The sequence below is a fragment of the Homo sapiens genome, chromosome 21, assembly GCF_000001405.40.
Source record: "Homo sapiens chromosome 21, GRCh38.p14 Primary Assembly".
NCBI classification, from domain to species: domain Eukaryota; kingdom Metazoa; phylum Chordata; class Mammalia; order Primates; family Hominidae; genus Homo; species Homo sapiens.
In genome coordinates this window covers 44536432-44549828 of record NC_000021.9, presented here as the reverse complement: position 1 = coordinate 44549828, position 13397 = coordinate 44536432, and the positions used below count along the sequence as shown (strand labels likewise).

The following is a 13397-nucleotide window of genomic DNA, read 5'->3' as shown; positions in this document are numbered from 1 at the left end:
GTGTGCTGGGCTGGGTGGGCGGAGGGCCGGTGGGAACAGCAAGGCCCCAATGGCAGAGGAAGTGCAGGACAGCATGGGGACACATGCAGACCAGAGGGCGAGAGAAACACGTGGACGCACAGGTCCAGATGTAGCCAGATGTGGTTTCAAACAGGATTGAGCAAATCTGAGAATAGACTCCTAGAAATGCAAATGCAGGCAAGGGATGCTGGCGAGGTATGACCGTCACCACGTTGCCCGCAAGAGGCCCTGAGTCTTTACTTCTCCACAGCTATACAATCACAATGCGGGGGGCACACATTATTCTTTTTTTTGTCCGGGTTGATTTTAAAAACTATTTTCTCATGGTTTTCTTCAGCAAGGTGTACAGCGTTCCAAAGTGTGGACACGCCGCACTTGGTGTCTGCAACGCCAGGTGGATGGCCCTGACTGTCTCTCCAGTTGTTCATTATTACAAACGATACCTCTTGTGAGATATGGCAAGGTTTCTCTTCAAACAGCCTGATCAGTCCTTTAGTGTTTCATTCCCAGTACCCCTCCCCATGTCTTTCTTCTTCTTTCCTTCTGCTTTTCCTACACGCCCAGGCATGCCACAGCACCAGCTCACATTCCTTTCCTTATTTGAGAAAAGACTGACTCTCTAGCTCGCCGCAGACGACCCCTTCCCCTAAATGTTTAGCCAATCGGGTCTAGCTTAGATTGTGTGGTCCGACCCCAGCCAGTTAAAAAAGGGCACAGGGGCAGGATTTGCGTCAAAAATAAAAACTTTCACTCTCCTTTGTTCTGTGTGCTCTCGTGGCAACCGGCCACGTGAGAGGCACTTCTCTGCGCAAAGATAAATTTGCTTTGCTAAAAAGTCCTTTGTCTAAGCGCTCGTTTTCCTTACGACTCTGAGTTCTATCTCTAACACCTCTGTGGGTGTTTCTACCATATACCTTTCCACACTCAGGTACATTTTTGCCTAAATTCCTAAAAGTGGCATTGCTGGTGCAGAGTGTTCATGGATTTAAAATTCTTAGAGATACTGAGAAATGCCCTCCAAAGATGGTCCCTAATTGTGCCTGTGAATACCGACGTCAGAGGAAATGGTGCAGCGGGGAACTGTGAGGGCCTGTCCCTCCACGGAACATCAGAAACTGGCAAAACCCAAATAAACAAACCCACCGTCCCCGGCCAGCGTCCCCTGGCTCTGCAGTTGTATTTCTAGGAGTCTACTCTCGGATTTGTTCAATCCTGTTTGAAACTGGCTCCATCTGCACTCATGTTCACGTGTTCACGTGTTCTCCCACCCTCTGGTTTGGACGTGGTCCCACACTGTCCTGGGCTTCCTCCGCCATCACTTCCCCAAGACCTTCCCATCCCCACCTGCCGTCCACCCACCCACCCCAACAAAGGGGGTGGAGTTCAATTTTATCTGAACTCTGGAAAATACTTGAAGGTTTGCAGCAGTCAAGGGAACACATAATCAAGAAAAAGCAGCACAACCCAATAGGACAACCTTGTGGATTTTAACTCCCCCTTGCCCCATCCCCCACTCCCCAGCTGGGTGACAGTCAGGAAGGCAGCAGCCCGAGTTTCTGATGTGGGATGCTGTTGCCAGGGAAGCAGAGGGGACCTTGTTTGCAAGGCAGTGCAGTTGTCTGTTTCTACCCATCTGGTGGCTCCCTGAAGGACTAACACACAGGGCTTGCCTTATTTCACCAAATCAGACTCAAGGCAGAGAGCAGCTACACTGAGGCTTTGTCAGAACATTAAACAGTCAATGCCACCTGGGGCCAAAGGTATCAGCCAGAAAACATTGGGCATGCCCAAAAAGCCTGGGAGGAAAAGCTGGAAGATGACATGCTTTGAGGAATAAGGGAGGTGGGAGATCCCACTTACTCTTGGGAGTCCAGAAGGCCCCCACGCATGCCCATGATGGGGCACCAGCTCAGAAAAGACCTGAGAAGCTCTCAGTGCTCACCTCTGGCTGAACTTCAGGCTCTGAGCAAGCAGGAAGGGAAGGTGCAAGCAGGAAGTAAAGGTGCAAGCAGGAAGTGAAGATGCAAGCAGGAAGTGAAGGGGAAGGCAGAGTCGCAAACTCCCCAGCCGAGTGCTGGGGGGTGTGGACCAATACACAGAGCCCAGCTACAAACCCTGAAGAAAAACAATTTTTTGATTCCAGGCGTTTAAGGAACTCTCTGTCAAATTACTGTCTTAGCACCAAGCTAATAGAAAGTGAGCACACATGATGAAGAAACTATTTTTTAACTTGACATAAACAAGCAAAAACAACCACAATCCACAACAATCAGCAACAGCAAACTGCACAGAGGGAGGAGAACCTGATACCCAGAAATATCCCATTGTAATAGTCACTGTCTGGTTTTCACCAGACAAAGTGGGAAGAAATATGAGCTACTCATGGGGGGAAAGCAATTAATGGAAAATCTTCCTGAGGAAGCCCAGAATTGGACTTACTAGATAAAGCCTTTCGATCAGCTCTCTTAAACATGTTCAAAAAACTAAATAAAATCACAGACAAAGAATTAAGATAAACCAGGAGAATGATGCCTCACCAAATAGAGAATATCAATAAAGAGATAGGAACTTTAAAAAGAAACCAAACAGAAAATCTGGAATTGAAAATTACAACAACTGAAATAAATAATTCATGATAGGGTTTCAACAGCAGATTTTATCAGGTGGAAGAATTAGTGAACATAAAGACAGACGAATTAATATACTCTAGTCTGAGGAGTAGCTGAGACAAAGGGGAGTAGATGTGAGAATGGAGAAAAATGCACAAATCTTAGAAGACCTGTGGGACACCATCAAGCATACCAACACACTTAACTGGATTTCCAGATGGAGGGGAGACAGGGGGAGCAGAAAAAATAATTGAAGAAATAATGGCCAAAACTTCCCAAATTGAGAAGACATACCAATCTACACATTCAAGCCACTCAGTGAACCCCAAGTAGAATAAACTCAAAGAGAATCACACAAAAACACAGTGTAATCAAATTCTCAAAAGTCAAAACAGAATCTAGAAAGCTGCTGGACAGAAGACTAACAGCGAATTTCTCATCAGAAACCATGGAGGCCAGAGGCATTGGGATGACATATTTCACATGCTGGCTTGGGGTACAGCGGCAGGGGAAACCAACAACCAAAAAGGCATCAGCATCTGACAAAATTATCCTTCAAAAATGAAAGAGGGGCCGGGCGCAGTGGCTCATGCCTGTAATCCCAGCACTTTGGGAGGCCAAGGCAGGTGGATCACGAGGTCAGGAGATTGAGACCATCCTGGCTAACATGGTGAAACTCCAATCAAAATACAAAAAATTAGCCGGGCCTGGTGGCGGGAGCCTGTAGTCCCAGCTACTCAGGAGGCTGAGGCAGGAGAATGGTGGGAACCTGGGAGGCGGAGCTTGCAGTGAGCAGAGATCGCACCACTGCACTCCAGCCTGGGCAACAGAGCGAGACTCTGAAGAGAAAGTGATTCATTTCAAGGTAAATAAAACCTGAAAAAGCTCATTGCCAATAGACTTGCCTTACAAGAAATGCTAATTCAGGCTGAAATAAAAGGGCACTAGACAGTAACCTGGAGCCATATGAAGGAAAGGTAGCCATGTCGGTAGTTTGTGTGTTTATAAGAATTCTTCCATTACATATTAGTTATCTAATTTGTTGGTGTACAAATTTTCATAGTATTCCTTATAATCCTTTTTATTAATGTAAGGTCAGTAGTGATATTCCCATTTTCATTTACGATTTTAATTATTTGAATCTGTCATCTTTTAATCTAGATAAATATTTGTCTAGATAAAGATCTAGACAGATAAAGATTTGTCAAATCTGTTGCTCTTCTTAAAGAACCAACTTTGGGGTTCATTGATTCTACTGGTTTTCTACTTTCTATTCCATTTTTCTGTGCTCTAGTCTTTATTTTCTACCTTCTGCTAAATTTGGATTCAGTTTGCTCCTCTTTTTCTAGTTCCTTAAGATATAAAGTTAGATTAATGATTTGAGATCTTTATTTTTTTTTAAAATGTAAGCATTCAGTTATCAATTTCCCTCTACATACTGCTTTCACTGCATCTCATAAGTTTTGGTTTGCTGTGTTTTCTTTTTTATTCATCTCAAAGTATTTTCTGTCTTCTCTTTGAGTTTCTCCTTTGACTCCTTGGTTGTTTGAGAGTGTGTAATTTAATATACACATATTTGTGAATTCCAGTTTTTCTTCTGTTATTTTCTAGTTTCTTTCCATTATAATCAGAGAAGATAGTTTCTATGAGTTTGATCATTTTAAATTATTAAGACTAGTTTTGTGGCCTAAGGTATAGTCTAATATGGCAACTGTTCCATGTGAACTTGAGAAGAGTGTGTTGTTGTCTACTCTTGTTGGGTTGGATGTTTCTGCATCTACGTTAGACCTGTTTAGGGGGTTCTTCAAGTCCTCTATTTCTTTACTGAATGTCAATTTAATTCTTTTTTTTTTAATTAATTAATTAATCAATTTTTTTTTTGAGACAGAGTCTTGCTCTGTCACCCAGGCTGGAGTGCAGTGGCACGATATCGGCTCACTGCAAGCTCCACCTCCTGGGTTCACGCCATTCTCCTGCCTCAGCCTCCCAAGTAGCTGGGACTACAGGCGGCTGCCACCATGCCCGGCTAATTTTTGTATTTTTAGTAGAGACGGGGTTTCACCATGTTAGCCAGGATGGTCTCGATCTCCTGACCTTGTGATCCTCCCACCTCAGCCTCCCAAAATGCTGGGATTACAGGCGTGAGCCACCGCGCCTGGCCTCTTTTTTTTTTTTTAATTACAGAGAATGGCTCATTGATGTCTCTCTTATTGTAGAACCAGAACTGTCTATTTCTTTCTTCATGTCTGTCCATTTTTGTTTCACATACTTTGGTGATCTGATATTAGATATGTATATATTTACAATTGGTATATCTTCTTGATGGATTCACTTTCATCAGTGCATAACGTCCTGTGGGCCCAGCCCCTGCTGATCAGTCTGCTCCAGCTTCTGCATGACAGTGGCTTCCTCATTAGCCTCCGTTCCTGGCCATTCTCCTGGTCTGTGGCTGGCTCCTCCCCCACCAGGCCATCATGTCCCCAGGTAACATCCATGTGGCTCCCCCCGGGCAGCACATAGCATTCCTCAGTTGCTCTCACTAGACAGGTCCCACTTCCTAAGGTCTGGAAAATTATGATGGCCTAATAAAACAAGCTGAGAAATTTAAGCCTAGCATTATTTCTCTCCCAATTATTTACAGCATTCAGTGGTGAAAGTCTTTGGGTCCATAGCTTGCTTTGTAGAATGGCTTTTAATCCTAGATTCATTTAATCAGTATGATATATTTGGGACTTTTCCTTTTCTTGGATTCTGTGTCTTGACAAATATAGATAGTTGTGTCTCCACCAACACCATCAATACATAGACTCCTCTCATCATCCCACAAATTTCCCTCATGCCCCTTTGTAGTCATTCCACATCCCCACCCTAGCCCCTAAAAGGCACTGATTTTTTTTTTGTCTTATTATGATTACTATTGCCATAATATCACATCTACAGAATCCCACAGTGTTTAGTATTTTGCCATATAATATATGACTTAAATAGACCCTTCACTAAAGAACAAATATGGATGGCAAATAAACACATGGAAACATGTTTCACATCATGGATCACCAGGACAGCGCAAACTTAAACCCCAGTGAACTCTCCCTATACAGCTGTGTTGACTAAAGTAATGATACATCTGATGGGCAGGACTGGAAAGAATGTGGGGCTTTGCTGATACGTTTGAGTTTAAACCTCCCATCTCACAGTGGTTTTTGCTTATGCAAGGAATCTACTCCCTTTTATCTCCTTGCTTTACTGCTTTTGGATTGACTGTTTTAAGTTTTTTTATTCCTTCATTGTATTGGTTCCTAGTGCTACCATAGCTAATTACACCAAAAGTGTGACTGGAAACAATGGAAAATTATTCTGTCATAGTTCTTAGGGCCAGGCACCTGAAATGAAGGTTTCCACAGGGCAATGCTTTCTCCGAGCTCCAAGGGAGAATATGCCCTTGCTCCTTCTAGCTTCTGGTGGCACCCAGCAAACCTTGGGTTCCCTTGGCTTCTATCTTCACTCCAATCTTTGCCTCTGTTGTCATATCATCTTCTTCCCTTTGTGTGTATGTCTGAACTTCCTTCTCCTTTCTCTGGTAAAGACACTAGACATTGGATTTAAGGTTCACTATGATCCCGTATGACTTAACTAATTATATCTGCAAATACCTTATTTCCATATAAGGTCATATTGGGAGGTTCTGGGTGGAGACAACCTTTGGGGAGGAATGATTCGGCCAAGTACTAGCATCTACTTCCTAGTGAGTCGTATATTCCTTTGTTATTATAGTGGAGATTATAACATGAATCCATGACTTTTTAAAGTCTCATGTAAATTAGACCTTATATTATTTTTCAGATGGTGCAGTGTGCTTAAGCCACTTTAACTCTATGTAGCCCCTCCTGAATTTTGTGTTCTTGCCATGTATTTTATTTCCATAAATATTTTACAACTTACATTTTATACAGTCAACATTCATTTAGATTTTCCCCATGTGTTCTTCTTTTGTTACACTTCATTTCCTTATCAACTTCTTGCTTTCATCTGTGCTTGTTTTCATTCTACCTAATGCTCCCTTTAGTATTTTCTGTAGTGCAGATCCTGCTGGTGACATATCCTCTCGGTGTCCAGAGGATGTCATTATTCTGTTCTCATTTGGGGGAATCTTCTTCCCAGGTATAGAATTCTAGCTTTGTGCTTCTTTTCTTTCAGACAGTAAATATATCATTCCATTGTCCTCTGCCTTTCATCATTTCTACTGAGAAGTCATCTGTAAGTGTTATTGTTGCTTCTTTGAAGGTAATATGTCTTGTTTTCCTCTGGCTGTTTTTAAATTTTTCTGTCTTTGGATTTCAACCCCAATGTGCCCAGGTGTAGTTTTCTTTGTGTTCACTTGCTAAAGATTCTTGGTTTGGAGGGTTCCTTTTTTTCTTTTTCTTTTTTCTTTTCTTTTTCTTTTTTTTTTTTTTTTAACAGGTCTCTTTCTGTTGCCCAGGTTAGAGTGCAGTGGTGCAATCTTGGCTCACTGCAGCCTCTACCTCCCAGGCTCAAGTGATTCTCCTCCTTAGCCTCTTGAGTAGCTGGGACTACAAATGTACCACCAAAGTGGGCCAACTTTTCATATTTTTTGTAGAGATTGGGTTTTGCTATATTGTCCTGGCTGGTCTTCAACTCCTAAGCTCAAGCAGTTTGACCACCTTGGCCTCCCAGAGTGCTGGTATTACAGGTGTGAGCCATCATGCCTGGCCTAAAGATTCTTAAATGCTCTTTGCATCTATGCATTTCATCAGGTTAAAGTTCTTGTCCATTACATCTTCAAATATTTTACTACCCCTATTTCACTCCTCTCCTTGTAGGATTTCAATCATTTTTCCCATAAATTTTCACAAAATATAGGCATGTTTATTGCTCCACTTTCTTTATTTCCCTCTTTTCTTTCCCATCTCTGTATTCAGGCTTGAAATTTCCTCATCTCCCTTCCTTTACTAATCTTCTCTTTGGTTTTGTCTATATGTTGTAAAGCTAAGCTACCTAGTTCTTAATTTCAGCTATTGTGTTCTTCGTTTCCAGAATTTTTGTTTGATTCCATTTAATAAATCCAGTTTGACACTGAAATTCTCCATTTGTTCTCTATTTTCTTGAGCAAGTTAATCAGCATTAAATTCCAGTTTCACAATTCTAATATCTAGATCTCCTGCACGTCTGTTTCTCTTGTTTGTTTTTTTCCTCTTGGTCTTTTGGTCAGTTGGTCTTGTCTTCTAATATCCCTAGTAATTTTTTGACTGCATGAAGGACTTTATGAAAATTTATAAGATGATTTGAGCCTCTGTTGATGCTGCTGTCTCCAGAAGAGATCACTTTTGTTTCTGGGAGGCAGTTAGGCTACAGGCAGATCATATGAGTTCAGTGCGAGTTTATTTAAAGATAGGTTTCATTCTTTCTGGTTTTTCCTTCCTCCTAGGGAGTAGCCCTTCACTTACATTCAGCATTTCCAACTGAAAGCCTAGGGTGTTTTTGCTAGAATCCCTCCACCTTGTCAGGTCCTGAACTCTGTGGTTTTTTTCTTCTAATTCCATGAGACTACTAAAAGCTCTGCTCAGCTGATCAGGCTCTCGGCCTCTTGGCTGTGGTCTGTAAATTGGTAAATGCCTCAGTAAGAAAATCCACAAGGAATATTGGACTCACTTCTGTGCAGTTTCTCTCTAATGCGGATTCACTCACTCAAGTCTCAGCTGTCTTGATACCTCCCGGCCCCTTCGAACAGAGATTTTGTTTGTAAACCAGATTTCCTAATATTTCTCAGCTAGATGGCCAGTCTGATGTAAGCCAGTTCCCCACACACGAAAGGAGAACTTGACAGAGCATTTTATACAGCATAAGAAAAAGGTGGCACAATGGAATCGCGTTCAGAGCTCAAAATTACTCTTCAATAATTTCTCCAAAAAAGTTTATTATTTCAGCCCATTTTTATAAAGGCTTTTCCTTGGGCCAGGCATGATTTTAGGCCTTTGAAGACTGAGTGGTGAACAAGACAAACACACTCCCTGCTCACATGCAGCTTACGTTTGAAGAAAGGAAGCTGAGGACAGCAAGGACAATGAACAGGAACAGGGAAGACACGTGGTGCAGAAATACTGATGATGGCCAGGCACCGGGCTCACGCCTGCAATCCCAGTACTTTGGCCAAGGCAGGAGGGATCACTTGAGACGCCATCTGTACAAAAAAAAAAAAAAATAAATTTAAGAATATTGATAACGGGACTTGAGTTATCTATGGTTGAAGCACATCATAAAGCTATGGCCTTTAAGAGCAGAACCAAATCCATGGGCCAGTTCAAAACTTTTCTTTCCTGTCCGAAACCCAGTCCTATCCCCAGCGTTCCCACACCAACGTCTGAGTGGACCTCGGGGAAGGCCGTGGGGAGGGGCATGGCCTCTCCTTCCTTGCTCCCCTTCTCCCTGTTTGGGGCTCTAATTTCTTCAGTGATGGGGATGGGGGAAGGAATGTGCAGGGCCACCACTGTGGGGTTCGCTGGCCACTGCTGCACCTTCTCTCCGGCTGCTCCAGTGATCCTGTGCTTCTACCAGCTGCTTCTGCCTCTTCAGTGAGGACCCGCTTTAGGGAGGAGACGCCCCCACGATCGTGAGTGGGACAGCTCTCACCCTGGCATGCCACACTTTGCATAAGGCTGAAGGGCCACCCCTGCCTCCGCAGCCCCCTTCTTACAACCCGGACTGCACTGGTGGCGTGCTGGGACCAGGTCCACCTCCACTCTTGCCCCCAGGGATCCACATGGGACAGGCTACAGCCCAGACAGGACAGGAGATTTATGACCTGGGCCACATCACAGGCAAACAAACATCCCTAGTCATGACACACGCCACCTCTCAGCAACCAGGAAGGGGACGCTGTGGGCCCTGGAACAACAAGGCCAGAAGGGGTATAAAAGCAGAGCCCCACGAAGCTCACACACTCACTCACACACTCAGTCACTCACACACACACTGACTCCCACACTCACTCACTCACACCTCCCGCAGCTCACCTCCTCCCCACCCCAGCATGGCCGCGTCCACCATGTCCGTCTGCTCCAGCGCTTGCTCCGACTCCTGGCAGGTGGATGCCTGCCCAGAGAGCTGCTGTGAGCCCCACTGCTGCGCCCTCAGCTGCTGCGCCCCGGCCCCCTGCCTGACCCTGGTCTGCACCCCAGTGAGCCGTGTGTCCAGCCCCTGCTGCCAGGCAGCCTGTGAGCCCAGCCCCTGCCAATCAGGCTGCACCAGCTCCTGCACGCCCTCGTGCTGCCAGCAGTCTAGCTGCCAGCCGGCTTGCTGCACCTCCTCCCCCTGCCAGCAGGCCTGCTGCGTGCCCGTCTGCTGCAAGCCTGTGTGCTGCCTGCCCACCTGCTCTAAGGATTCCTCTTCATGCTGCCAGCAGTCTAGCTGCCAGCCAACTTGCTGTGCCTCTTCCTCCAGCCAGCAGTCCTGCTGTGTGCCTGTTTGCTGCAAGCCTGTGTGCTATGTGCCCACCTGCTCTGAGGATTCCTCTTCATGCTGCCAGCAGTCTAGCTGCCATCCAGCTTGCTGCACCTCCTCCCCCTGCCAGCAGGCCTGCTGCGTGCCCGTCCGTTGCAAGCCTGTCTGCTGCAAGCCCATCTGCTGTGTGCCCGTCTGCTCTGGGGCTTCCACTTCATGCTGCCAGCAGTCTAGCTGCCAGCCGGCTTGCTGCACCACCTCCTGCTGCAGACCCTCCTCCTCCGTGTCCCTCCTCTGCCGCCCTGTATGCCGGCCCGCCTGCTGTATGCCTGTCTCCTCCTGCTGTGCCCCTGCCTCCTCCTGCCAGGCCAGCTGCTGCCGCCCGGCCTCCTGCGTGTCCCTCCTCTGCCGCCCCGCGTGCTCCCGCCCGGCCTGCTGAGGCCTCTGCTCAGGCCAGGAGTCCAGCTGCTGATGGGCACCCGCCCTGGGCCAGCTGGGCTCAGTTCCTGACCTGGGTTAGGTGGCTTCCCCCACCTAGGACGGGTCCCCGTGTCTCCCCTGTGCTGAGGTGACCCCCCCTCCTTGCTCCCAGGAGCCTCCATCCTTGCAGCTCCCCAGCTCTTGCCTTCCAGCAGGTGCCCACCTGCCTGCTAGGTCCCCTGTCCTCCCTCCCAGCTTCTCTGCTCTGGGTCACTTGGCCTCGACTTGAACCTCTCAGCACCTCCTCCTGCTCCCCAATAAACTCTCCTTGGTCACCTGATTCTCTTTTCTGTTGTGTTCCTGGGGGACACATGGTTTTGAGCTGACATTGGTCTCCTCCAGCCATGATTATTTTTAGGAATGAGTGACTTAACCTAGAAGTCACAGGGGACAGTGGCCTAACTCCTCCAGGGGGTCACCAGGTGGGACTCACGGTCACTCCCAGGAAGGCTCAGTCCCAGCTCAGCCCCTGTGCCCGGGTCTTCCTGAGCCTGGTCATTCGCTGTCATGCCCTGGGCTGTGGGGCTCTCCAGGCCCCAGGACTGTCCCACCCACTCTCTCACCTGGGAGAGCCCACACTGCAGGGTCACCTTCCGGGAAGCTGCCCTGGGGTCCGGGCACTGCAGCCTCCAGGCCTGGTCACCCTCCCTGTGTGCCGCCCGCCCGAGGGTTCTGCCCGTTTTAGCAGCAATGCGAGGGGAGAGGGAGGGGCTGCTGCACCTGCGCAGGAGACAAGGGACTCGATGGGAACAAAAGCATCATGGGGTGGGCGGATGGAGGCACAGGATTCCCCAAAACCCTGGCGCTGCCCAGGTTCTCCTCTTGGGGGGGGGGGGGGCAGCAGTTTCCACACAGGTGTAGGGACAAGGAGCCTGGGTTCCCACAGATGATGCCGGTGCGGGCACACAGTCAGCGACACTCTCATCTCTCTAAGGCTTGGTCCACGCGGGGAGCATGAGCTGCCTGTGATGTCCTGTGGGAAAGGCCGTCAGCGGGGACAATGGTAAGATCAGGCAGCGCATGGGGCTCCGCCACCCTGGGTGGGTGCAGAGCAGTCAGTCCTCAGACTGTGAGACAAACTCCTCCAGGCCAGCTGCAGAGACCAAAACGCTGATGAGAATGCCCGCCCCTGGGATGCTGCAGTCACCCCACAGCCAGGCCGGCCGCAGCCTGATGGACATGGTGCTGCCACGGCTGTGGTCAGAACAGGCACAGAAATGCCACAGAAAGTGAGGTGGAGCCTGGGGGGCGGGGTCTGCGTGGTTGCTGCCCAGGGCCCTCAGTGGCTGGGGGACCCCGCGTGACCCCGGCTCAGCCTGATCTGCTCTCAGCTCCCTGCCCTCCGCACTGACGGCTGCTGGGAACCCACTATGGCCTAAATGCATGGCCGTCCACACTGAAAGTTTCCTGTTCACATTCCTAGCCCATTTCTTATCAGGCTATGTGTGTTTTTCTTGTGGATTTAGGGCTGGGGATCCTCTGTCCATCATATGCCCTCCAAATATTTCCAACCCATCATTGCTTCTATACAGCACACTCCCCGAGATTGGAAACAGGCCTAATTTTGCTGATATTGGTTTCATTGTTATTGCTTAGATTTAACTTTTTGCCCCATTTGCTGATATGACTTGTGTGAGGTATGACGTATTAATCTTTCTCTTCCACCAATAGCCAACTGTCCTTTTTTAAAGTTAGTTTATTCTCTCCATCTCCCATTTGAAACATCTCTTTTGTCTGAGAAATGTTTGTATAGCCTGCTTCTGAAATCCCTATTTTGTATTTTGTTCTATTCATCTCTTGATCTATCCTTGCATCCATTCCAGCTGTTTTATCCATGTTATTCAGCTTCATAATATATCCTAACAGCTCATAAAGAAGGTGCCACTATCTTATTTTCTAAAAACGTTGGTTCTAGCTTGTTCTCAATTAATTTTAGAAAGCTTTTCCAGTATTTTTTAAACTGCTATAATTTTGATTGGGATTGCATTGAGCTTTTAAATATGTAGGAGGAAACTAACAGCTCCTAAGGAAGGTGCCACTATCTTATTTTCTAAAAACGTTGGTTCTAGCTTGTTCTCGATTAATTTTAGAAAGCTTTTCCAGTATTTTTTAAACTACTATAATTTTGATTGGGATTGCATTGAGCTTTTAAATATGTAGGAGGAAACTATAATTGTTCATCTTGTCTTGCCTTGCAGTTACACAGTACAATAGTTCCATTTAGAATTCCATCATTTTCTTCTATAGGTCTAAAATATTCCTCTTTGGATTAAATTCGAGGTATTTCATAGGGATGTTTTACTAGTGTGAATGGGGAACAGTTTTCTATTATGTTGTCTTAGTATATAAATCCTGTATATATGTCTATATAAATTTTTTACATATATATTGTCTTCATATCAAACCATATGTTTAGCTCCTTTCCTTTGCAAGTTCTCTTATTAGTTCTTACAGTTTGTCATTGATTTTCTTGGATTTTTCTATGTAGATGAGCTCATCATTTGAAAATAAGGAGAATTTAACTTCTCATTTCCAATCTTTAAAACTCCCATTTCTATTGTTTTTCCTGTGGCAACATTACTTTGAACACCCAGGATGATGCTGAATAAAATTAAAAGAATCCTTGATTGTTCCTGACTTTCATGAGAAAGCGTCAAAGGTTCACCACTACACGCAGTGTTTGCTGTGGGGTTTAAGTAGAAACCTTTTATTTTTAAACCAAGTCTTTCTATTTCCTTTTTGCTATGAATTTTCATTTACTAGAATCAAGGATTGTTTTGAGAGGGAGGAGTGGATCCTAGAGACATGGTGCTACCTGAGGCATAGTTT

General features: G+C 46.1%; 2 protein-coding genes across 3 annotated transcripts in view, besides 3 other annotated features; both read left to right on the top strand.

Moving 5' to 3' along the window:
• Nucleotides 1-13397, top strand: part of TSPEAR (thrombospondin type laminin G domain and EAR repeats) — a 213680-nt gene that overhangs the window by 161744 nt on the left and 38539 nt on the right. The gene's annotated exons all lie outside the window — the stretch shown is intronic.
• Nucleotides 509-803: an enhancer, noted in NCBI's record as "tiled region #850; HepG2 Activating non-DNase unmatched - State 23:Low". NCBI's record gives its function as "activates a minimal TATA promoter and a strong SV40 promoter by Sharpr-MPRA in HepG2 cells {active_cell/tissue: HepG2}" and the evidence as "EXISTENCE:reporter gene assay evidence [ECO:0000049][PMID:27701403]".
• KRTAP10-1 (keratin associated protein 10-1) lies at nt 9634-10848 on the top strand. The gene has a single exon (NM_198691.3). It carries the CDS (start codon nt 9679-9681, stop codon nt 10525-10527), a length of 849 nt encoding a protein of 282 aa, NP_941964.2. The 5' UTR covers nt 9634-9678; the 3' UTR covers nt 10528-10848.
• Nucleotides 10232-10896: an enhancer, noted in NCBI's record as "H3K27ac-H3K4me1 hESC enhancer chr21:45958816-45959480 (GRCh37/hg19 assembly coordinates)". NCBI's record gives its function as "activates a minimal SCP1, AML or CMV promoter by ChIP-STARR-seq in naive H9 embryonic stem cells {active_cell/tissue: H9 hESC(naive)}" and the evidence as "EXISTENCE:reporter gene assay evidence [ECO:0000049][PMID:30033119]".
• Nucleotides 11250-11749: an enhancer, noted in NCBI's record as "H3K4me1 hESC enhancer chr21:45957963-45958462 (GRCh37/hg19 assembly coordinates)". NCBI's record gives its function as "activates a minimal SCP1, AML or CMV promoter by ChIP-STARR-seq in primed H9 embryonic stem cells {active_cell/tissue: H9 hESC(primed)}" and the evidence as "EXISTENCE:reporter gene assay evidence [ECO:0000049][PMID:30033119]".